The 25,786-nt window shown below is 43.4% G+C and overlaps 1 protein-coding gene and 1 non-coding gene across 37 annotated transcripts in view; both read left to right on the top strand.

Moving 5' to 3' along the window:
- Positions 1-25,786, top strand: part of DYM (dymeclin) — a 424,259-nt gene that overhangs the window by 385,614 nt on the left and 12,859 nt on the right. The gene's annotated exons all lie outside the window — the stretch shown is intronic.
- MIR4744 (microRNA 4744) lies at positions 25,264-25,345 on the top strand. The gene has a single exon (NR_039898.1). It is a non-coding gene; the product is annotated as a microRNA 4744 (primary transcript).

Raw genomic sequence — 25,786 nt, 5'->3', positions numbered from 1 at the left:
GCCTGTCTGTCTCCCCCATTGCTTATCAGCAGCCCCTTCCTCAGGACTCTGTGAGTCCATTGCATCCAGCCTTTTCCATAGTAGTCTCAACATTAGTGAACTTTTAAGCCTTCTCTGTCTTCTGTGCAACTCCTACCCACATCTGGCTTCTGAATTTGAGACGATCTGAAAGCAACCACATTCAAAAGAAAACAGAAAAACATTTTAGTTCTCTTGGAACTTACTGTATAAGAAACTCATGTGCTTTGCGGAATATTTACAAGTAACGGTTCTTCAGATTAAGTAGAGGTCTCAGCTTTGCTTTTGGCCGTTAAACTCGGTAGTCATTTGTAGCTCTGTTCTACAAAGCACAGATGAGTATCCTCTAAATAACTCAGCTTTCATGTTATGAAGCAGACTAATTCTCATACCACAGGTAATGAGCCCTAGTTTTGAATCAAACGTTTTGATTTTTCCAGTTTGGCTTATTTTCTGAATTTAAAAGTACCATGCACAATTATATGTAGACAATTAAAGTTTGAAATGGTTCCTAAGCACAATACAGTTATCTCTCTGTATCCATGGGAGATTGGTTCCAGGACCCCACCCCCAAAACACCCGCCATAGATACCAAAATCCACAGATGCTCAAGTCCATAATATAAAATAGTGTATTTGTATATAACCTGTGTACATCCTCCTGTATACTTTAAATCATCTCTAGATTACTTACAATACCTAATATAATGTAAATGCCATATAAGTAGTTGTTATACTGTATCATTTAGGGATAATGGCAAGAAAAAACAGTCTGTAATGTTCAGTGCAGATGCAACTATCCTTGTTTTTTCCTCAGAATATTTTAAATCCATGGTTGGTTGAATCCAGGGATGCGAAACCTATGGATACAGAGAGCCAACTGTGTAAATTTAGTTTTGCTTTTTATTTATAAGCTGTGGAGGCCAAAAGAACCTAGCTGTTAAAGTGGTCATCTTTTTCAATTCATATGACTGATCAGAATCACAACTCGGATAGTTTTAAAATAAGCTGGGAGACTCCCTTTCCCTTCCATCTTAACGTTTTGATACCAAATTATTTTACCTTAATAAAGCGAGTGTAACACTGCCTCCCTATAGTGAATGCACAGACTTCTCTACTTATCCTGGGCCTGGACACAACCCAACTCAGTGTCACCAAGAATCCAAAATTGAAGTCAAAAAAAGAATGTGTCTTGTGGTTCCAAAACCATGGAAGAAGAAAAAATGGATTAAATGGTTAAAGAGGAAGCTTAGGGCTCATTGGCATTCCCCCATTCCTTGTTTTAGACGTGGTTATTATCGGTGGGTGAAATTAGCCTCAGCCTCTCTGTAGACCTCCAGCATGTCCTTGTTGCTGCTGTGACGTGGGTTTGCAGGGTGAATTTAATCAACTCCAGGCTTCCTTACTGCCAGGCCAAGGCTGCCAGCCTCTTGAAAGCTCACTCGTTTCAGATTTTGTTTTTTTGGGTTTTCTAATTTTTTCTAATTGAGGGCCTGAAGCCATTATTTAAGACTTTTCCAAACTTCTCTTGCCTTCAAGTGTTCATTTGACTATTTTATGGGGGTGGGGGGAGGTGGTATTGTTTGTGTTTTCTAAGCAAACCAAAATTACATATTTTTTAATCTGTCAAGTTAACCTTTGACAAAAGTTTACCTTAATTCAGTAAACATATTTGTACTTTGGCCAATTCTGAATTAACTTGAAAAGTGTTAAGATATTTTTAAATTTTTAGGCATAAATATAGCACATATAGAGTTATGAGAATTGCCTTTTAGTTTACTTAAACATAAAGATACTCATTTCAAGTTTAAAATGTAAATGATCTTGTGACGAATGAGGCTATTCACATTTCAGATGAACTTGTTTCAATACTTTGAGGCACTTTCTATTTGTCATAACTTCCCTGAGATTGAGTCACTATGTTTTACTCTTATTTATCCACGTATGTGTTCATTTTTATACATTACATTTTCCCAACTCTAAATCAAAACTGAATGCCAAGGATATTTTGTTTTTGGTTGGACGAGGGGAGTTACATTTAAATGAGAAGACTATTAAACCTGCTCTTCTGAAATAATTTTAATAGGCATATGTTTCCAGCCCTGCAGGTTTAAGAGCCTAGTCTAATGGAAGGGGCACACGATAGCAATGTCCTTTCTTAAAGGGATATCACATGTTTGTGAAGCCCTATCAGTTGTGCTTCAGCAAGGGCTCTAAATGGAGTCTGGCAGCTCTCCTATTTGCACGGCGCTGTCTGTCTCAGCAATGATAAGCAAAGACAGGCTGACTCCTTCAAGGAGCCTTTCATAAAGTCTCAGCTCTCAAACGTTCCGAAACTCACTGGTGGACTTTCCCCTGTGGACCATTCATTTATCAGGAAATGAAATTGGTTACAGGGTTTCTCACGTTGCCAAACCTCACTGACGAAATCTGGTTTCTTCCAAAGTTCAGGAAAAGCATTTACTCTATTTTGCTGTTCACTACTTCTTGTCTTTGTGGGAACCACAGTCAATACAAGGGTTTGAGAACTCCACAGGGGAAAGGTTGGAGTGGGAGGTGGCCAGGGAGTGAGTCTGGGGGCTACTTTCATAGATATCAAATCCCATCCCTTTTGAATGGGATTTTTTTTTTATGTTGGCATTTTCGTCTTTCAAACTACAGTGTCAGTTTCACAGGAGTGATTTTTTCCACTTCAAAAATGAAATCCTTTAAACATGACACGAATCACCTTATTGGCAGCATAGCTTTGTAACTTAGACCAGAGATCATTGTTTAAACTTCGTGAAACTAGAAGGAACAAAAATAAAGAGAAACATGTAGTTGTATGGCACAGAGAATGTTTGGATAAGTGAAGGTTAAATTATTACAAAGTATGTAATCTAGTTCATATGTTTAAGGAATGGAACTAGGCTAAATTATCTAAAATATTCTGACGTACTGAATCATTTCATTTTGTAAAACAAAATCTGACTAGCAGGGCATTCTGTTGTAGGCCAGTCTGTTGAGTGCAGTGTGCAACCTCCTGTGTTTGGAATTAGCAGGCCCAGGGGTAAGGCGCAGCGTGCATGTGGCAGTTATTATGGCTGTGGAAGTGGTTGCTAGCTAATTGATAGCAGTAGCAGTAGAAACAACCTTATTTAATTTTCAATAGTCCCTATGACAAGACGCTATACATGGGATCCTTTGTAGTCTTACCATTATTGTCCTTTCTCTCCCTGCCATTAAATATATGGTAGTTAATATATACACTTGATGATATTAAGAAATGAATTCCTTTTACTCTTTTTTCCCCCTTTGGAGCGGCTTCACATTTGACTTCTAACCCTGATTATTTTAGGCCCCCAAGTAAGTAGTGATTTACTATCAGTGAGCCTGTTACCCTTGACTGTTGTAGCTCCGATTTGCTAAAAATGTACTTGTGGTCACAAAGCCACCTCTTAGCCTATGCTGGCTGGTGGTTTTGCTCATAATCTGAACCCCAAAGAGACACACTGGTTCCATAAAGGGAAAATGAATGAATCGTCTTCTCTGTTCATCACGGGGAGATAAGCTTTTGTGAACTTGAATTGCCTTTAGAGCATTGTGTCCGTGGTTTCAATTGTATCACAGAATGTTACACAGACTGAAGTTAAGTGGTTACTTTTTGTCAGGGGTTATCTTATTTTTCTCCATTCAGTTTAACATGTGTACTGCAAAAGACAGTATTTTTGGAAATGAAGGCATAGTCTTTCATTTAAACATGCATCAGAGGGATTTCACTAATGAAAGCATTCAAATCATGTGCCTAGTTCTTGTTTCTAGCAGCCTCTGCCATTAAATAAATATCAGTCTTATCAAATTCATGCATTCAACATTTTTCCTGTTGATACAGGCATGAAAAATAAAAGCAGGTAGGCACTATAAAAGATTTGCCTTCATCTTTGGTGATCTGTATCCCAGCCCTAACCTACAGGAACTGAAAATGAAAAATCAGTGATTATTTTTGTCCTTTATAAATGGTCTGCACATTCCACCATACAGCCTCTCATTGCTAACAGTCCCTATTGAAGAGAAAACACCAAACCCAATATTGAGAGTTTTTCAAATCAGGGCACAATGGGGTATAAGGAACCATGTGGACTCTTGATCATTATATTTATTTATGGTGTTCTCACAGTCTTTAGGCCTCTGAGTCTTTGAATAAATATCTCCAACATCCAGCGGCTAACATTCCTTTTCCTACAAAGCTACTATTTGCAATAGAGATTTTCTTGTCTTTCATTTATTTGTTCAACTAGTATTGATTGAGCAACTCCTGCCTGCACAGCACTCTGCTAGTGGTTGTCCCTTAAAGAACCTTACTGTTTAGGGGGGCACAGTTTCTAAAGTAGCATTCAAAGAAACGGCTTCTCTACTCCCTTCCTTTTCAAATGTGAGGAACTTAAGAAAATTAGAGAACACAAATGGGCAAAGGGGGCTTGGGAGGCAAAAGAAGACTGTTCACACTCAGAGGACTTTGAGCTGCAGTGGTTTCCTTGAGTGTGAAATGAAGAATGGCCGTGGACAGAATGCAGATTCTGAAGCACATAAGTGGAGAGGCAGGTGGGATGCTGGAGGGCTGAGAGTGAGTCCCCAGTCCTGCAGTCTGGGGCAAGTTATTTCACCTTCACTGTGCATCAGTTTCTCACCTCAAGGACAGGTCTAACTCATCACCTTACCTACATCCTGGAATAGTTGGAGAAATCAAAAGAAACAATGCACGTAAACTCCCTAGCACAAAGCAAGCTCTCAGTAACTGTTAGCCAATGTTAGTTTCTCACATATCTATCAACCTCACTTTTCCAGAACAAAGCCAAAAACTAGAGTTGTAGATTCTGAACAATCAAAATGGATGGCTCGGAGCTCTTGTCTTGTACTTTATTAATCAGGGAGCCTCTTGCTCACAGCCATACTCTTTGCTTGATACAAGTTTTGTTTGTTTATTTGTCTGTTTTTGAGACAGAGTCTCGCTCTGTTGCCCAGGCGGGAGTGCTGTGGCGCGATCTTGGCTCACCACAACCTGCACCCCCCGGGTTCAGGCAATTCTCCTGCCTCAGCCTCCCGAGTAGCTGGGATTACGGGCATGCGCCACCACACCCAGCTAATTTTTGTATTTTTAGTAGAGATGGGGTTTCACCATGTTGGTCAGGCCGGTCTCAAACTCCTGACCTCATGATCCACCTGCCTTGGCCTCCCAAAGTGCTGGGATTACAGGCGTGAGCCACCATGCCTGGCCCAATACACAGTTTTAATAAGCTTAGCCATCTGGTTCCCAAGTCCATAATAGACTAGAAGCCACAACTTAAAAGAACTGCTACAGGTTAGTACACTAACAGTTATGAAAATCAAGGGCCACTTGTTCTGATTAGCAAGGGAGCAAAACAACACACATGAGTCTTACTTTTATAAGTATATGTGTTGTTTTATAAACTAAACAACACACAAGCCTTACTTTTCAGTATCTTATAAGAACTTTTACATGCTACTCATGAAAATATACCAAAAAGAGTTGTGAGTCTGTGGCAGTCATGACCCTGAAGAAAAGTTGGGATGATACAGGACATAGAGCTGGTATCATCTCTACCCTTGAGAAACACAAAGCCCTGTCTTTGAGAATAGCGAGTGGGTGACCTAAGCCCAAAGAAGGCTCAAGGTGCCAGTCTGAACTTTCAGAATAGATAAATTGCTGAATGATTTTCTTTAGCAGGTTAGTTTTCTTTTTATTTTACTTTGGGAGGGATCATAGCAAGATTCTTGTAAATGCTGACTTTAATGTATGATTTGGTGTATAACAATTTAGTTTATTCACTATTTTCCATGAACACGTTAGTATCTCTGTCAAGACTAAGTTGTCTAATTTAACTCACGCATCATCCCATCTATGTAGGTAATTATTTTACTAATGTGTTGTCAAATGAGGGTAAACTAGGCTAACTCCAAAGATCCCTTCTTCCATAATCAATTTATTATACTTCTTTTGTTTTGCCTGTGTCTCCTCAATATACATTCTATTCTCACAATAAGCAAAAACTGAAAACTTGACATTGTAAACTTTCTCCTGGTTCCAGTGTTTGTATTTATGAAAAAACATCAATTCCATGCAGATGTGTTCATGTGAACTATTTAGAATTGACCCTGATTCCGAATCCCATAAGTGACACTTTCCAGTAGAATAAAAAAGATGGCTTGGAATGTAATCACTTCTGGAGAGGAAATAGGAGAAGCTGTTTCCTTCTTTTAGATTTCCACTCTTTTATTCTGCTGAGAGAGGGCATAGAAAAAGGGAAAAAAAGGAATTTCTCCTCATCCTCAGCATATGAGAGCTGTATGTGGCTTTTTAAGTTTTTAAAAAAGCAGCCAAGTGTCAGGGTACCCAGTTCATTTTTGGAGTTGTTCTGGCTTGTCATATACTCCTCACCTCCAGCAGTCCAGCCTAACAAAAGCTGTTACAATGACTTAAAAACAATATTCTCTGGAGCTCCTTTCATTTCTAAGGAGCAGCATCAAACTGTGCCCCTTCTCCATTGTAAGCCTTAGGATTTGTGGGAAATGCTTTTGTTTAAAGAAAGGTATGAAGGAACCAGTCATGAATCTTCTGTTCCTAAGGAAGTGGACCAAAAAATATCCTTTCTCTCAGCATTAGTTGTTAGAATGGAGAAAGAAGAGATACTTGAGAAACCCTCTTTTCAACCCCCTTATTTTGGGGAAATGAGAATTGCCTCATCCAAGGTCACCAGGCTGGTGGGGGCAGATCCAGGCTCCTATCCTGGACTTCCTGACTGCACCTGGTCATGTCCCTTTGTACTACACATGGCTTTTCTCTGCATTCAAGGGACACTGTAACTGTTAATATCAGTCCACAGTCCCCTCTCAAAGCAGCCTCAAAAAAGCTTGAAAGTCCAACTATTACTAGTCATTGCCCCTGTGCTATTCTTTGTGTAGAAGGATGATGCCATGAGTTTTGGCTTGATGTTTATGATGTATTTATGTTAACTCAAATTCTCTTTCATTGACCTATCCTCTTTGTGACTAATGAAACGCCTTTGCAAAAGGGCCAGTTTTGGAGGGGTGGGTGTTCTGTCAGCAGTAACATCTCAGATCTGTTTATGCCTTGGAGGGACCATGTCCTCAGGCTAGATCTCGGGGGCTCAGTATTCTAGTACCATAAATATTTTTAGAACTGTCTTTTTGAGTTCTACTTTCATGCACATTTGTGACTAAATTTAATATTTTTAACTGGCATACTTTATTTTGTTGTGTGTTATTTAACTGCAAGTTGATCTTTAACTGGCCATTTGAGAGGCAGATTCTTCTGCTCTGCCCCTGCATGTGGCATGGACAATTGTTTCAGGATAACGTTGATCCCTCCCAGTTCTCTGAACATGGCATGCACGCTCCCAGCCTCAGCCTGTGCTTGTTTCCCACGAGGGCCAGCGAAGGCCAGAGATTCTCCCCAAGATTTTCACACATCACCCCACTCCTTCCCTACTAAACTTCCGTAACACTCACATCACCCCACTCCTTCTCCTACCAAACTTCCATAGTGCTCACATCACCCTACTCCTTCCTCTACTGAACCTCCATAACACTCACATCACCCTACTCCTTCCCCTACTGAACCTCCATAACACATCACCCCACTCCTTCCCCTACTGAATCTCCATAACACATCACCCCACTCCTTCCTCTACTGAACCTCCATAGTGCTCACATCACCCCATTCCTTCCCCTACTGAACCTCCATAACATGTCACCCCACTCCTTCCTCTACTGAACCTGCATAGTGCTCACATCACCCCACTCCTTCCTCTACTGAACCTCCATAGTGCTCACATCACCCCACTCCTTCCCCTACTGAACCTCCATAACACTCACATCACCCCACTCCTTCCTCTACTGAACTTCCATAGTGCTCATTATCTACACCATTTATTAGCTGTTTAGTATATGCTGCTTCTGGTAAGATCTTAACTATATTTCCTTTTTCCAAACTCGGTTGTAACACCTGATGTCAAGGACCTGCTATCTGCCTTTTTATATCCCCAGTAATCAGCCTGGGACCCTGTATACAATAGACACACACTGCATGTATCTTCATTGTGATGGGATGAAGAGGTATGAGTGGCCAAAGTACAGGAGGCTATGTTGGCCAAGATGCAAGTATGATAGCCACCTTGTAAGCTGTAACAATATCCAGGGAAGGTTTGATATAGGGCAAGATCAGGGATAAGAAAAGCAGTAAAGAAGGTATGATGTGGTCATGAAAACCTTAAAAAAAAAAAGAATCCAAATTGTACAGATACTTTGGAAACCAGTTTGGCTTATCTGCTAAAGTCGAACAGATGTATATGCATACTCTCTCCCACTCCTAGGTAAGCATCTAACCTAAATGCCTGCCCTTGCACACGAGGAGATGTGTAAGAATGTTCATAGCACAATTGTTCATAACAGTCCAACCCTGGAAACAACCCAGTGTCCATCAGTGGTAGAATTAATTAATAAGTTGTGGTACATTCAGGCAACAGAATACAGCAATGACCGTGAATGAATCACAGCCAAACCCAACATGTTTCAATCTCACATGCATAATGGTAAGTGAAAGAATCCAAATACAGAAGGTTATACACTGTGTAATTCCATTAACATAAAATTCACAGATAGAACTCGCCGAGAGGGCTATGGAATGCAGGTATAGGTGGTAAAAGTAAGTATAAGAAAGAGCAGGGAGCGCCTACCACAAAAATCAGGGTGGTGATGGCCAGGGAGATGGGAGAGAGTTCCCTGATCAGGCTGGAGCAGTAATTCCATAAGTGTTCACCTTCTGCTATAGGTTGGTGCAAAAGTAATCGTGGTTTTTGCTATATGGCAAAAAACGCGATTACTTTTGCACCAACCTATTTAGTTGTTACACTTTTACACTTGGGAACTTTTCGGTATGCATATTATATTTCACAAAATAAAAGTTGTTTTTATAAAGTGGGGAGGAGCGGTCCATGAAGGCTCCTTTACTTAAAAAGTGAACAAACTATGGTAAGTGATAGAAATGTTAAAGGGATTCCAATGAAGGTAAAAATCACCTATGGAAAATTATTCTCCCTCTTTCCATTTGCATATAAAAATCAAATGATTTCACCCGTTTTTGCTCTCCTAAGATGTGATCTATGCCCCTCACTAAAAGGACTAGAAAGAGATACATCAAAGTATTTCATAGTTGTTATATGTTTGGATTGTGGAACTAATTTTAGTGATAATTTTATAAGCCCTGTTTTTAATTTTTTTTCAGTGAATAATATATTTGATTTTACTACAAGCATGTAGTTAAAAAAAAAAATTGAGGCCGGGTGCAGTGGCTCATGCCTGTAATCCCAGCATTTTGGGAGGCCAAGGTGGGCAGATCACCTGAGGTCAGGAGTTTGAGACCAGCTTGACCAATATGGAGAAACCCTGTCTCTACTAAAAATACAAAATTAGCCAGGCATGGTGGTGCATCCCTGTAATCCCAGCTACTCGGGAGGGTGAGGCAGGAGAATTGCTTGAACACAGGAGGCGGAGGTTGCGGTGAGCCAAGATCGCACCATTGCACTTCAGCCTGGGCAACAAGAGCGAAATTCCGTCTCAAAAAGAAAAAAATTAACTGTTTCACTAGAAAAAGGAAAACATGGCCTAGGCAATATGAGTTAGAGGAAGTTGTTGTCATGAATGTATGGACTTGGAGTTAGCAGAGTTACTGGTTTTAAAGCAAATAGGAATGGGAAAATAGTTTATATCCCTGATTTCTCTAAAATCAAGACCCAAGCCTTCTGTGGGTATTTTAGTGACGTGCAGTGCAAAGAAGCCCAAGCCAAGCTTGTGATTTGTCTGTGAGCACTTGCAGCCAATTTGTATTTTTTAGTTACTCTCTCTGATCTACTAATGAAGTGGCTAAACAAGTAACTTTTAAGCATAACTTAAACAGTTCAATGCTTTCAGAAATGAGTGTAGCTAATTTAAATCATGTAAGTAAGTAAAAACTTTGAGAAAACAATTTGTTAATAGCTTAGCAACCCTTGGGGATAGAACATCTGTGTTTTTAAGAGACAATGTTTAGTCATGAAGTGACTATAAATTCATACTAGATACATTATGAACAACAAAGAGGTTGAATTCCAAAACAGTATTTGAAAGTAAAGAGAGAAACTACAATTTTGAACATGGTAAAAATTAAACCTAAATTTATTTTAGTTGCAGATTTAGAAGTGTGAAAAGGAAAAATATATACGTATTTTGAACATGCTATCCCAGTGATTTATTAATAGAGCTTAATACACTCTTGCTGGAGATTTCAAATGCCTGCTAGCCTCTCCACATATAAGTGCAAAGGCTAAAACTTCCCTTGCATCAGTCTAGCTAGTTTTGTGTTATTTTTAGTTTTCAAGTAGAATTTAATCAAATAGATCATAGAGCGGCCCTCAGAAAGTGAATGGGAAATTTCTTACTGTTAACAGTTTCTTTAGGGAGTATGAAGTCATAGACCCTGGTGTGGAGAGCTTCACAGAAGTGGATCTATTTTCAGAATTATGTTTGATGTGAATTTTTGCACGTTTACTTCAAAGGCATTTTCATTATAAGTGACAAATGACTTCTGAGGAGGATAGAATAAAAAGATTAGCTTAAAATAATTGAAATCTGAGAAGTTAATTTTGTTGACCAACGAATAGGTTTATGAAGCATCCCATTTTGAAATCAGAAAATTTATATTTCCAAACTCGAATCTGCCTAAAAATGCTACTTTTCCAGGCATGGCAGTTGTTCTGATTAGATTTTGTATAATGTACATGATTAGACTATCAGTTTCATGTAGGATTCTATATAGGTTTATAAATTGTAAACTCTCAGTATATAATAAATTAAAAATAAGAAGGCTAGTCCTTTTGGGAGTGACTGGTTCTACTGTCTCCCTTCTAAAAGTAAAGTTATTTTCATTGTTTTTGCATACATGACTGTATTCAGATTTTTTCCCAATGTCTAAAGTGCTTCTTCCCTACCCAAACTCACCCCTTTCTCTTAGGGTTTAGAAATTATTACCTTCAGCCAGGCACCGTGGCTCACACCTGTAATTCCAGCACTTTGGAAGGCCAAGTCAGGTGGATCACTTGAGGCCAGGCGTTCAAGACCAGCCTGGTCAACATGGCAGAACCGTGTCTCTACAAAAAATACAAAAAAGTTAACCAGGCATAGTGGCAGGTGCCTGTAATCCCAGCTACTTGGGAGGCTGAGATGGGAGAATCGCTTCAACCCAGGAAGCGGAGGCTGCAGTGAGCCAAGATGGCACCACTGCACTCCATCCTGGGCGACAAGAGCTAAACTCTGTCTAAAAAAAAAAAAAAAAAAAAAAAAAGAGAGAGAAAGAAAGAAATTACTACCTTCTCAGCAAAGCCTTTCCAACCACTTAGCAGCCCAGCTATTAGAGCACTTCATATTTTGAATTATCACCTTGTTGTATGGTTGTGGCTGTCCCATTAGAGAACATGGTCCCCCCAACAGTGACTGTCCTAAACCACATTTAGTTTCTTAGTCCTGTAACAGTGTTTTTCATGTATATATTTCTTTAGTTCTGTTCATATATCTATTTACAAAATATAACTTATTTCCCAAGGTTTTTAGTAAGAGGGAAATTCTTTAGGCATGGATTTAAAAAAAAAAAAAAAAAGAAAAGAAATCTGGCTTTTCTCTTTTGATTAATTCCTAATCTTGCGGTTTCACTCATCCTTCTCATGTGGTTTCTCCCTGGACAGACCTGTGTCAGGTGTGGGAAATTGGGCAGAGAATGTAATAATCTCAGTGGAGGGTTCTGTAGCAGTTGTTTTTTAACTTGCTGAATATGTGCTTTTTCTCTTATTTGTTCCTTTGTCCTAAAAATAGGTGTGCTTTAGTGAAAGTTCCAATTAGTAGGGTTCCATTTCCTGTAGATTTTGCTACACTGGAAGTGAGAGGTGGCTAAAAACCGATCATGGCAAAATATTCCAGACACAGAAAGCTCCTGCACAGGGAGTTGGTTGCCTTCTGCCCACAGATTAAGGGGTATTGCCTCATTGGCTTTCCAGGTGGATTATAATCTCCTTCCCATCACGACATCCATTTCCACCCTCATTTTCAAAGGTGGAAAGGAAACAGGATGAGGAAGAATCCCTGGGGTGAAATTTGAATGCACACTTCTGAAGGGGAGCGACTTTTTCTAAACTTTGTAAAGAGGGTGACCCCTCACTGAAGTCAGTTTTTCTAAGCTGGAACCGTTAGCCCTAGTGTGTTCCAAAGACTCCTATTTCCTTTCCAAATAATTCAGGAGTCAGGTGGAGGAGAACAAATGGCAAACAGCATGGCCACCCGTGTGTGTTCTGTGCATGGCAGTCAGGGCTGGGCACTGTGCCGTTGGTGCAAAGCACCTGGAGTCTAGTCCACTTTAACTCTTGTCTCGGGAATCTTAAGGGCTCGTGGTTTTCCCTGAAACCTGTGGGAGGAAGCTTGCTGGCTTCACATTTATGGCAGGAGGACCAGAAGAGTCCATCAGTGGCTGTATTTGCAGGCCTCGGAGATCCCACAGTCAAGGCCTGGGGACTGACTAGGTCATAGTCAGCAGGTCCTGAGCTGGGCTAGATAAGAGTGTGCTTCCTAGACTGTGATCAGAAAGTTAATCGTTGGTGACAGTGAGTCTGCCCTTGTTCCTAAGCCATTGTTTTAGTTTTGTAAGATTTATAGGGCTGACAATCAGATTAAAATGTATAGAATAAGTAAAACCTCCTTCCTTCAGAAATGTGTATTGGGACTTTCTCCCAGTCTCTCTCTCCCCGTTTTCTAACCTTTGAAGATAAAGGCAGGAGAATTATAATTCTGACAAGCCTTCCAGACAGCTTGCTTAATCTGGGCTATGAGGCTATCAGGCCTGGAGGCTTGTCTCTGCAGCTACTGCTAAACTGAACATCCAGGCACCATGAGGTCAGCTGCACAGAGACCCTTTCCCAGAGGCAAACTGGCTCAAAGAGAGACCGTATCAGAAAAATAAAGACTTATTAGGATGGAGCCAGATGGAGGATGGAAACAGAATTTTATTTGTGTGCTCTTTTGTTTCTAGGGAAAAACAAAAGCAACACAGGTCACTGGACTCTAAACATATGAAGTTTGACTATTTACAGAGGAAGCTCTTGGATTCATTTCTAGATCTCTTCCTTCCCAGCCCTGATTTCCTTCCCTTTCTGGGGAGAGGCAGCTGTGAAGAGCTGCCAAGTCTCTCTGCCCACTCACCCTGGTGGCACTGCCAGCTCTCCTCTGTTCCCACTGTCATCTTTGGGTCCTGGCCCTCAGCCCCCATCGCCTAGACCCTGCACTAGTCCCCCAGCTGCTCCCCTCCAAGGGCTGCTTCCCTCCCATCCAGAGGGACCACATTGTTTCCCAAGTAGTCTCCCAAGAGCACGCTGAGGTCCTGGGCACAGCTTTGCTCAGGTGCGTGGAGTGGCCCCACTTTGTATGCAGAAAAGTCTAGGCTCAGTCTCAGCAGATCTCCATAAACCTGCCTTCCAAGCTATTTTCACATTCCCCCTCTTATTCTCAAACACACCGGCTGGTCCGTGGGCACCCTTGTGCTTTTCTGTCTCCCTGTCTGTGCTTCTATTATTCCTCTGCCTGGGATGCCCTTCCCCCCACCTCCACATGCCCAAATCCTACCCTTTGTTTACAGACCACCTAGGTGCCTTCTCCTCCTTGAAGCCTTTCTTGATGCTTCCAGTTTAATTTCTCCCTTCCCTGGATCCCCACAGATTACACTTATTTGCACACTTCAGATGATATTATCACCTCCTATCTTGTCTGATAGTTATTTTTGTACATGTTTTATCTCCATGTCTAGATTATGAACACCATGGTTCGGAGGCGCTGCCTCTACTTTTTGGTATCTTCTGTGGCAGTGGTTTCCATTGAGAAGCCATTGAGATTTTTTTAAGCACAGAGTAACATGATCAGGTTTTTATTATGGACTTTTTTGTTCATGCCCCCCTCACTACCCAGGAACTGCTCAGAAAGGGATGGTTCAAATCTTTTTCTCAGCCAGGCTTCTGAACAATTTCCCTGACTAGGCAGTGCCTTACACTTCTCTCCTCTCCATCAGGACCACCCCAGGTGAACTATCTTGCCAGCATCCCCTGACTGTACTTTTCACGGTCTCTCTCTCTCTCCCTCCTTCTCCCTCTCCCTCTCTCCCCCTCTCTCTCTCTCTCTCCCTCCTTCTCCCTCTCCCTCTCTCCCCCCACCTCCCTCTCTCCCCCTCCGTCTCTCCCCCCTCCCCCCTCCCTTCCCCTCTCCTCCTCTCCCCCTCTCCCCCTCTCCCCCTCTCTCCCCCCTCCCTTCTCTAAGCCACCCTGTGGCAGAGGGTACTGTTCCTCACTCAGCAATGCCTGACCTGGGGCTGCATGGCACACAGAGAGCCTACCTTCAAATCATTTATGTCCAGTAGTGAATGGAAACTATCCAAACCCATGTCCAGCCAGGCACTTTGTAGGAAATATACAGGTAATGCTGTAAGCAGGCAGATACTGGGCACTGGAGAGGACCACTTAAGACTCTGGAGGGAGGGAAGCATCCGCACCAGCACTGTAGGAAATGGAAGTGTGGTGGGAAGGACATCCTAGCTATAAAGAGACCTGTCAGAAAAGGCATGGAGGCGGGCATTTGCCTGAAGTGTGCAGGGGACCCCAGGGAGCTCACCTGGCAGAGGCTGATGGTTTGCTTAAAGGAGAGGAAGCAAATGAAGCTCAGAGGTCCTGGGCACCCAGTTTGTGGAGACTCCAGAGTCCATACAAATCAGAACTGGCAATTATTGCATTGTACTTTCTAACATTAGGTTATGTTAGAGGATTGCTTTTTAGTGATTTTTTTTCATTTGCATTTATCTTAGCTCTCCAAGTAAATGTTAAGATCCTTAAGGGCAGGGACCATATTTCATATTTTTATTAAATGCTTTTATGGTACAAAACGTCACCCTATAATTTATTTTATTCTCATATTGGGTTTTCTTAAAGCAGGGTAAAATGTTCTTACCTGTTTAATTAGGTTAATATTTAAGAGTGAAAATATATAATGTCCAGAATTAACATCAAACTAATTCAGAGGAGGGAAGTTGGGGTAGCTTAAATGAGTGCCCATGAGTTAATGGCTTGTAGCTGGTTGATGGGCACACAGTGTTCACTGTATTATTTTCCCCACTTTGGTGTGCATGGGTAATTTTCCATAATAAGATGTTGGGTCTCCGGTGGTACTGAGTAAGCCTTCAGCTTGCAGGACTCCCAGCACAGCCCCCTCCCTCATACCACCACACTGTGTAGCAGCCACCTGGGCCCCTAACTGCCAGCTGAGCCCCTTGCTACAGGCCTGACTTCCGGAACAGCCAGGAAAACAGCTAAGGATCAACCATTGTGTTAGGGTCCTGGTACAGTCACAGCTCAGTGATGCAGACCCATCAACCAGGTGGCAAAGATGACCATTATTTTGTATCACCATTGTATTTGTTAAAGCACTAGTGATTACAGTTATAATGTAAATATTAATAAAAAGGAAAGAAGGATGCATGGGTGAGCAGGTCACCTTTTGTCTTAGTTCGCTGGGGCTGCTATAACCAAATACTGTGGAATGGGAGGCTTATAAACAACAGAACTTACTTTTCACTGTCCTGGAGGCTGAGAAGTCTAAGATCAAAGCACCAGCAGATTTGGTGTCTGCTGAGGGCCCACTTTGTGGTTCGTAGACAGCACCCTCTAGCTGTGTCCTTACATGGTGGACGGGACTAGCTGGCTGGCTGTGGTCTTTTCTATAAGGACACTAATAATCCTTGCAAGAGGGATTTAATCAGAAGTTTTATCTTGAAACATCTTTCTTCATCAGAAAGTGTTTCGTATGCACTTAGAGGTAGAAACCATAGAAGATGTATTTACAGTATAAGTTTCTCTTTAAATAAGCACATCATTCTGTCTTCCTTAAATCTGCTTTTTCATTGTACAAGTTCCAAAACTCAGATGTTGTCACCCCTTTTGTGCTGAGCATACATTAGTTCTCTCTAGGGGAAATTTAGAGTTTTCACTTTTTCTTATGTATAACAAATTTTGATTTAAAAAAAAAGGTATGTTCTACATCCTCTTGCTCTAAATAACCCCAAATATAAGTGTCTTATTATAGTATGTTGATTATTTAAATTTGGAATTTCCTTTTGAAAGATCCTTTAAAATGTTTTATGGGTGTTTCCAAGGTAACTCTCAATGTTGTTTAATTTTCATGCTTACAGTGTATAACAAATTGAATTATCTATCATTGGTCCCTTAAGAGATAAGCAGTGTGTCTTTCTTTATTGAAATATGTAAATTTGTGTCAGGCAGTGTGGCTCACACCTGTAACCCAAGCACTTTGTGGAGGTCAAGTCAGGAGGATCACTTGACCACAAAACCAGCCTGGGCAACATAGTGAGACCCCATCTCTATAAAAAATTTAAAAATTTGCCAGGCATGGTGGTGCAGACCTGTGGTCCTAGCTACTCAGGAAGCTGAGGTGGGAGGATCACTTGAGCCCAGAAGTTTGAGGCTGCAATGAACTATGATCATATCACTACACTCTAGCCTGAGCAACAGAGCAAGACCCTGCCTCTGAGGAAAAAAAAAAAAAAGAAGAAAAAGAAAAAAATGTAAATTTAGCAAAATTGGAGCCTGTGTTATAAAATATGAGTGCTTGCTCTTAATTCCTTGTTTTGAAAATGACTAGAGATCTCCAAATGCTTCATCTACAGATGTTTTACTTGCCTTCTGGGGCATTGATTTGAAAAAAATCATGATAGAGAAGGGAAAGGTCTTGTATTTTCCAGTTGTCCTTTGGCTTTGAACCTTGTTCCAAGGCAGAAGATGGACTCCTTTGAGGCCCTTCTCTGGGACTGCTTGGAGAAGTCAGAGCAAGGTGCTAACAGAGTCTAGCCAGCAGTTGTGCCTGGCCCTCACTGGGCCTCTCAGCCCTGCCTGCACCACCTCAACATCACAGTCAGTCTTCAGCTCCAGTCTCCACCAGTCAGAGCAGACCTCATCAGCCGTAATGGTTTATAGATGAAGTAACTAAGTGTCAAAGAGGGACATGGTTTGTCCAAGTTTATTAGTGTCAGAGCCACCTCTAAAATCCAGACGTCTTGAATTTTCCCTCCATGATACCATTCATAGCCTAAATGGGAGAGGTACATGGTAGTCTTAAAAGTTTACACTTCGTTTTCATGGTATTTATTGAAATTTCAAGTAATTGATCAGTGCGACAGTTGCCATGGGGAGCATGAAATGCCAGCTGCCTACTGCTCTTCTGCCTTCCAGCCTGTCTAGGCTGAGGAGAGGAAGACAGCAGATGTCATGGTGGTGTGCCTGGTGCAGCTTCAGCTGTCAGACTAGGAACAATGGGGCAGGGCGACTCCTGGGCCACTACCAAACCCCCCGCCCCAGTTAACATATGGGGCAAGTGGGAATGAGCATGACTCCCAGCTCCCTTGCCCTGGCTCTTTCTGGCCCCATCGTGCCACAGGCCTGCCTGGGAAACACTGTGCATGCTCGTCTGTGGCCCTGCCTGAGCCAGCCCCTGAGCAGTGTCCACGAGAGACCTGGGCTCAAGGAGCAGCAGTCTGCAGAGGTGAAGTCCTTCCTCTCTGCGGTCTCTTTGTCTGATTGGTCAGCATCACTGCTTTGCCACCTCTGAATGTACTTTCCCTCTATCCTGCCCATGGTGTTATTGCTAGTTCATAAAGTTGTAAACTGTGAAACTGCTCCCTTCATAAGAAAATTACCAAAAAAAAAGTTCAGATCACATGGATTTATACCAGTGCAGTTAAATTTCTAGCCTGCCCAAGGCCAGATCAAGACCCTATTTTGGATATGGTGAGCCAGGTTTTACATTGCTAACACACTGAGATATGAAACTTACGACCTATGCCTTTTTGTACAGGAAAGGGTAAAAGCAGGAATTGGCCCAGGCCATGGCTCATACCTGTAGTCCCAGCACTTTGGGAGGCTGAGATGGGCAACAGATCTCTTGAGCCCCAGAATTCAAGACCAGCCTGGACAATGTGGCAAAAACATGTCTTTACAAAAAATACAAAAATGACCCAGGTGTGGCCGGGCGCGGTGGCTCACGCCTGTAATCGCAGCACTTTGGGAGGCCAAGGTGGGCGGATCATGAGGTCAGGAGATCGAGACCATCCTGGCTAACATGGTGAAACCCCGTCTCTACTAAAAATACAAAAAAAAAAAAAAAATTACCCAGTTGTGGTGGCATGCGCCTGTAGTCCCTGCTACTAGGGAGTCTAAAGTGGGAGGATCGCTTGAGCCTGGGAGGTTGAGGCTACAGTGAGCCGAGATCACACCAATGCACTCCAGCCTGGCCAACAGAGTGAGACTCTGTCTTTAAAAATAATAATAAAATAAATAAAGCAGGAATCATGAATGAAAAAGAATAGGCTTTTATTAATGGAGATTCAATCTTTGTTTCAGCTTACAAATACGAATATTTTTACACTCATTAGCCCTCTGTGAAGATTCTCCTCTCCTCAGTGGCATGTAGCCTGAGAGCCAAATCCTGTTTGATTTCTGATCACATCACCTGTCCCTTGCTTATTAGCTTTCTCTACTTTGGTTTTGGAAAACAGAGTTTCAAGTATTCTCTTTCTTTTCTACTCTGACAGTGTCAATGAAAATGGCCTGTCTTCAGTGGCTTTTAGGGGCTCTGTGGCAATGCTAGCAGAAAGCAGGGCCTGAGCCCATTTGGTGGCTCTTGAGTCTCTGAGTTGTCTGAAGAGTCCTGCCTCCATTTCAGGAAAGTGGGAGCAGAGGGTGACAGCTGAAGAGACAGGAACGACTTGAGAAACCCCAAAGTTTCCTTCAGCCTGCACCTCCCCCAGCCCCCTCATTACTCACTTCCCCTAGCCAGGCTCACGTGGCTGCTGGGCTGAGTCGCCTCAGCTGCCGTGGCAGTGTCACCACCTCCATCCTCACTGGCCAGCAGCGGGAAGCCGTTGTTCCATTAGAGTCAGCCGCTGGTTGCTTGTTCATCTTTTGGTGTGAGCCCTCCCAGGATATTTCCTGGAACGCTGGAGGGAAACATTTCTTCACCCAGCCTTTCCAGGCTTCAGCTCATCGTAGTCTTTGCCTTCCCATTCTCACGAAGGCGGGGAGACCTTTGTCCAAGAAAGGGAATTCAGGTTACTCACCCACAGCATGCTGCTGTGCTTTCGTTTAGCATTCTGCCCATTTGGCCCTCGGCATTTTGGGAAGCTCTGCAGCTTGGCCTGGGGCTACTAATGGGCAGGATCCCACCCAATCTGTTGAGAACCTCAAAGACAGCATCACTGCTGTGGGTTAGGAAGGACTCTTGGCACCTCGTATTCAGATTCTGTCTCTCATTAGTATCATCATCTTTGAAGACAGACAGCAGAATTCTCCACTTTTGCCCCCATCTCCTACCTTGGAATCAAAATATTCTCCTTCTCCCAGCCTCCTAAGTAGGAATTGATTTGCATCAGGCAGTTTGACTCAGTAATGCAGTCAGCCTTCCTGAGGAGTTGACGCGTAGGCAACTTCACCTGGTGCCCCGCAGCTGATGGCTTTTAGATCACGAGTCTCTGTCCTCCATCTGTCCCCTCGACTCTAGGCTTCCCAGGTGAACAGGCTTCCCTCAAGGCTGCCTCCGTGCCTCCACCCACCTCTCCAAACTTACCTCTAGCCACACCTCACTGCAGATCGGCCCCAGAAGGGTGCTGTCAGCCTCTGTCTGCTCCAGAGGGTCCCTCCACATGCAGTTCCAGCAACCCCCACCCCAGCCCTGTCTCCACAAGTCACAACCCTGCCCACACACCAAGGCAGCAGGAGAGTCTGTACCTTCCCACCAGCCCCCAGAAAAGAGAGAGAAATTGAAAACCGAAGATTAAGTTTCTCTCCTTTCTGTGAATCCCCTTAGCCTGGGTCTGTGACAGAGGTCCTACCAGGGACATTTGCTCAAGATTCAGACTCAAGGGGGCTTCCAGTTCTAGCCAATGATACGATGGTTTGTGGAGAGCTTGTCCCGAGCATGGGGCTCCACTTTATATCCTCCATGTTTTCCCGAAGAGTCTTTTCGCCCTTACTTACAAAAACTGTTAGTGTCACTTGTGGACACTCCACAGTGGTGAAACCATTTCCTGAGCTCAGGATCCGTGTCTGCCAACCTTGTAAGTGCCCCTCTTGGGTGGTAACTTAGTGCCCAGAGACCCCCTGCCCAAGTCCCTCTGTGTCGCCAGCCATGGTGTTCCTAGATATGCCATGTGTTGCAACTGTCTTTTGAGCCACTCTCATGATGGGCTTCTTAATTTTAACTTTGTGTTTCTTAACTTGTAACTTCTAATAAGTGGTCCTTTATAATTTCCTATATTTTAAATTTAGTTCTGGCCCAGCACAGTGGCTCACGCCTGTAATTCCTGCACTTTGGGAGGCCAAGGCGGGCAGATCACCTGAGGTCAGGAGTTCAAGACCAGCCTGGCCAACATGGTGAAACCCTATCTCTACTAAAAATACAACAAATTAGCCGGGCGTAGTGGCATGCCCCTCTAATCCCAGCTACTTGAGAGGCTGAGGCAGGAGAATCACTTAAACCCGGGAGGCAGAGGTTGCAGTGAGCCGAGATCGCACCACTGCACTCCAGCTTGGGTGACACAGCAAGACTCCGTCTCAATAAAGAAACAAATAAAGTTCTTCATTAATTGTAAAATTAACATAAAATGAAACTTTTCCACATTCATTGCTGATGTTATTCATAGACCAGTGCTTATCTTCTTTTTGTTAAATTATAATATTTCATAGATTTGTCACTCCCTCCATTACACTTGGAAGAGCCTGCACTTCAGTCTTGATCAACAATTTAGCTGAACTGATGATTCATTATTTCTCCCAGAGTTTGCTGTCCAAGCCCACGTAAAACCTCCTGGCCCCAGTATTCGCCAGAACTACCTGGGAGAGCATCGTCCGGGAGCACCACCCACCTCCCATCCTGGGTCATGCTCCCCGCTTGTTCTTGTTTCCTCCCGCTAACTGACGCACCCTGTTCAAGGAGCAGAAGTTATTCCTCTCTTTCCTCTACAGCCAAGCAAATGCCTCCTGTTTAGCTGAAGCCCACCAACATTTGGTTTAAGGACTTATCATTGATGAACTAAAGTTACACAGCAATAGGATATGGAGGAGGAATGATAGTGAGGCTACGTAATCCCCAAATTTATCCTTCACCCCCAGAATTAAAAAAAGAATGTAAATGCGTCCTCTGCTATTTTACGACAGGATCTCCAAACCTGTGTAGTTTTCATCTGAGCAGGACTGCCCACCACAAGCCCTGCACGTGCTGTCTGTAGTCACTAACCCATCACTCCCGACCTGCGCCATCTGCCAACAGTTACTGGTCTGCCTTGCGACCAGCAATCTCCCATTTCCTTGTCTATTCAGAGGCTTAATATGGTCTTGAATTTTTTTTTTCAATCTGCTATGTAGCTATTGGATTTTAAATTGTATTAGACTCTGGACCTGTGCCAGGTGCTTGCTAGAGTTTCTGATGCTATCTTATATCATCTTTAGGTGGAAGGGGGAAAACGCCATTCAACTTTCGTGGTAATAAAATTATTGCAGTTGTGCCCTCCATCTGTTCACTGAACTTCCTGTGGGTTTTCACCAGATCACATGACTGACAGCAGAGATGGCTTTCAGGCTTTTGGTCTGCTTGTTGCACCCAAGTCTCAACCACCAAACCAGACCCTTGCTTTGTCTCTGAGCTGGGCGTCCGGATGTCCCACTGTGGTAGGTTGACTCACTGGAGCTGATAAAAACATTCCAGCCAAACTTGAGAGTCTAGCATTACCTCTGGCTCCAAAAATCAAAACAACAGGATTGCTGTAAGTAGCTTTGGATTGAGACCAAGCTACAAGCTTGAGGGATGAGTTTTCTCTCTTTGTTGAGCTGTGTCACAGGACAAGTATCTCGGAAAGAGAAGCGTGAAAGCCAGGGGCTCCTCACCAAAGTAGCCTGAGCTTGAGATAACCAGTGCCCTGCCCTGTGCCAGCCAGTTCTAGCTGAATTCCTGCCATGACTATGAGATCCAAGCCCCCGATCCTTCCCAGGCACCTCCTCTGCCTTCCCAGAGCTTTAGTCTAAGTCCTCAAAGCACGTTGACCTGAGAGTCACTAGCTAGAGCCCAAAGGGGTTCTTAGAAGCCCAAGGGAGGGAAGATGTGGGCAGAGAAGAGCCAGACGGATGTCGGAGTTAAGAGGGCCTGGCGATACCTGAGCAGCCGGGGCCCTGGGCCACCAAGAGGGTTTGTTGGCCATGGCAGAGATGAAGACACTCTCAAGTGAAGAAGTTGGACTTCCCTTAGCCTCACAGGATGGCATCATTGTTCTCTACAAAGGGACATAAAGGAAAGAGTGACCTTTTCTAGGTTGTTGATTTGACATTCAGACTGACATTTCTTGGACTCAGTCCTGACAAAATGTGTCCCCAGTGTCCTTAGTGCTAAATTAAACCTTTTGTCTTTCTTTTCCTTAGTACTTTAGACTTCTAAGACATCTTAGAGGGAGAAGCACATATTTTTAAGAATTGCTATTTAAGTCTCAAACCATGCTGGCTTTCTCTATAGGGAGGTAGATGGACAGGTAGATTCGGAGAGGGGGTCAAATTAAATTCAGCTCGGGCCTACCCAGGTTGACTGAATAACATTCTCAAAATTCTTTTATGATTTATGCCTAGTGTTCACCCTTTTAAAGTGTTCCCAGGCACTGCCCTTACAAACAGCTCCCTTCAGGAAAAAGGAAGCTCCTTACCATGTGCTTCCAGGTGTTTACTCTGTGTAGCCAGTCCTGGAGAACATGCATAAATAACAAACAGAGTGCGATTACCCTTTCTGAATCTTTTAGGTGCTGGTGAAAAGTTACAGGCAAACAACCCTAAGGAACAATCTCTCTGCTCCCTTGCTCACTGTGGGAGAGGAGCTGGCGCTATGGTTCGGGGAATGCGCAGTGCTGTCTGCATGTTCAGGTTTTCCAATAACGGCTGTGTGTTCACGCTGCTCTCTCTACCCGCTCTTTCAGTCCCCCCATGACCAGTAGTGCACACTTGGGAGACAGCAGTTTGGGAACCCAGTCTGTGGAGGGGACCAGGCCTTCACTAGCCAGCACGGACGGGGGCAGCGCCTGGAACCTCAGCCCACTTAGCTGGGAGCTCCCAGGCCACAGAGCAGCTCAACAGCAGCTTCAAGCTTGTCTTTGTTTTCAGCAGTTGGGAGCCTTAGCCTTTAAAAATGTCTATTGTCAACCTCCAGGACATTCAGATACCATCTCCAATGCAAAGTCTGTCTAAGTAGAAATCAACAAATGCTTAACTTCAGGGTTGCAGCTGAACCCAGGCCCAACCCATTCAACCCTTTCTTCAAGTGAACCCTGCAGAGCCTAGAGGCATGGCAGGGAATACACCTTTAGACCTTACTGGTCTAAACATAAAACCACACCTAGTCAGAATTGGAAGGAGCTCAAAGGTCCTTCATTTTTCACAAGGCTAGAAAACTGAGTCCTGAGAAATGCTATGACTTGCCCCAAACTGCCCAGCTTGCCACCTGCTGAGCCAAGACAGAGCCAAGGCCTCCTGTCCCCAGCCTGGGCTCACCTGGTGATCAACCCCATCACTCACAGTGAGGAAACACGGCCACAAAAGGTTAAGTGAGTTGTTGGTTAGGAGGATATTGAAGAAACATCTGAAGCTCATTATTATTACTTGAAAGACATGAAAACCTAGTGTCCACGTTGGCCACAGACATTCTAAGGGCACACTCAGGTCCCTTTTGACCCTGGGGAGGCTCCAGAGGAAAGGCCTGAGCTTCTTTCAGCTTCTGGCTCTACCACTCACTGCTGTGGCCTCTTTTTCATGTGACTTATTCTTTTGGGGTCTTGGTTTTTTAAATCTCTATAATGGAGTGAATAATACCTGTGTCACAGGATTTTTGTGCAGATTTTACGTCATTCGTTCATTTATTTAATTCCTCATTCAGCAAACGTGCCTTAAGATGTCAGTGACATGCCAGATGCTCATAAGGTCCCTGCCTTCTTAGAACCGATGTTTGTTCTAGTTGGGGAAACAAATGGTGCACAAGTCAACAAATAAGAGAAGCACCAATTGCACTGAGTGTTGTGAAGGCAATAAGCCAGTGAGCCGAGAGAGGCCACTTTTGTTTTTTATAGGGTGGTCATTAGTGAAGCAGGAAGTGCCTGGTACATGGCAGCTCTAGTCAGAGTCATTTCCACTGAGCTTCCTACTGGGCTGTCTGTGAACTTCAAGCAGAAGGCTTCATTCCTGGTCAACCACAGCCCCCGCAGCCCCGTGTGGCTCAGGGAGTTAGCTGCCATGCTGGATGTTGTTGAACGTGCTGCACGATCTTACAGGAAGATGGTAAACACCTAGGTCACATACATTGCAGAAGTTACCCCTTCATAGATGGTAAACCCTTCTTAGTTACCCCATTAGATTGCAAAAGCCTAATGTCACATACACTGTAGAAGTTACCCCTCTGGACTGGGTGCGGTGGCTCATGCCTGTAATCCTAGCACTTTGGGAGGCCGAGGCAGGCAGATCACCTGAGGTCGGGAGTTCAAGACCATCCTGACCAACATGGAGAAACCCCGTCTCTACTAAAAATACAAAAAAAAACTAGCCGGGCATGGTGGCACATGCCTGTAATCCCAGCTACTAGGGAGGCCGAGGCAGGACAATTGCTTGAACCCGGGAGGCGGAGGTTGCAGTGAGCCGAGATCGCGCCATTGCACTCCAGCCTGGGCAACAAGAGTGAAACTCCATCTTAAAAAAAAAAAAAAAAAAAAAAAGGAAGTTACCTCTCTGTCCACCTTATCATAACCATAAACCCACTCCAGGGCCAATCTTCTCCCCTCCAGTTGAGCCTGACTCTGAGACAGAGAAAGAAGGCAGTTCTTCAGCACCTGCCTTCTCTTACTGAAACAGCTTTGTTCTTTAAAAATGTTGATGAAGATGAGCTCAGTGCCTTTAAGCCATTTGTCAGCACTTGTGTCTGGTTTTCATGCAGGGAGGCTTATTTCTATTATTAAGAGTCAGTTGCCAAGTGAGAAGTATCCATTTGGGTGCATAAGAGAAATGGGCTTGTAAGAGAAATGGGCTCTGTAATCACATCTAAAGACTAGACTTCGCTATGACCAGGCCATAGTAAACATCATAGTATGTCTAGTCTTTAGGTTTGATTACAGAACATTATAAGAGCATCCCTTATACTTGCATGTCATTTTAATGTCAGTAATAATAGCCAACATTCATTAAGTACTTACTCTGTGGTGGGTACTATACCAAGCCCTTCACGTGGCTTATCTCATCCGATTGTCAGTACAACTCTGTGAAGTAGGAAGGATGGTTACATTCCAAGCCTCAGAGTATAGTAAACCTTAAGAGCCTGATCTGAGCAAGGATGTGAGACTAGTCCAAGGTCACTCAGCTAATAAGGACTGGCCTTTTAGCTCTTGAAGGCTGGGACCCCATGTGTCCTAGTGGCTGTATTTTTAGTCCTGTGCTTACTATACACTAGGCCCTCAGTAAGTATTTACTGAGTGAATGAATGGGAAAAGATGGGACTGAAACTCAAATTATCTGCCTGCCTTTGGAGTTGCTTTTTGTAGTTGTTTCAAAGATGAA

Source organism: Homo sapiens, chromosome 18 (assembly GCF_000001405.40).
Source record: "Homo sapiens chromosome 18, GRCh38.p14 Primary Assembly".
NCBI classification, from domain to species: domain Eukaryota; kingdom Metazoa; phylum Chordata; class Mammalia; order Primates; family Hominidae; genus Homo; species Homo sapiens.
Note: the sequence above shows the minus strand (reverse complement) of the source record. Positions and strands in the feature narration are given on the sequence as shown.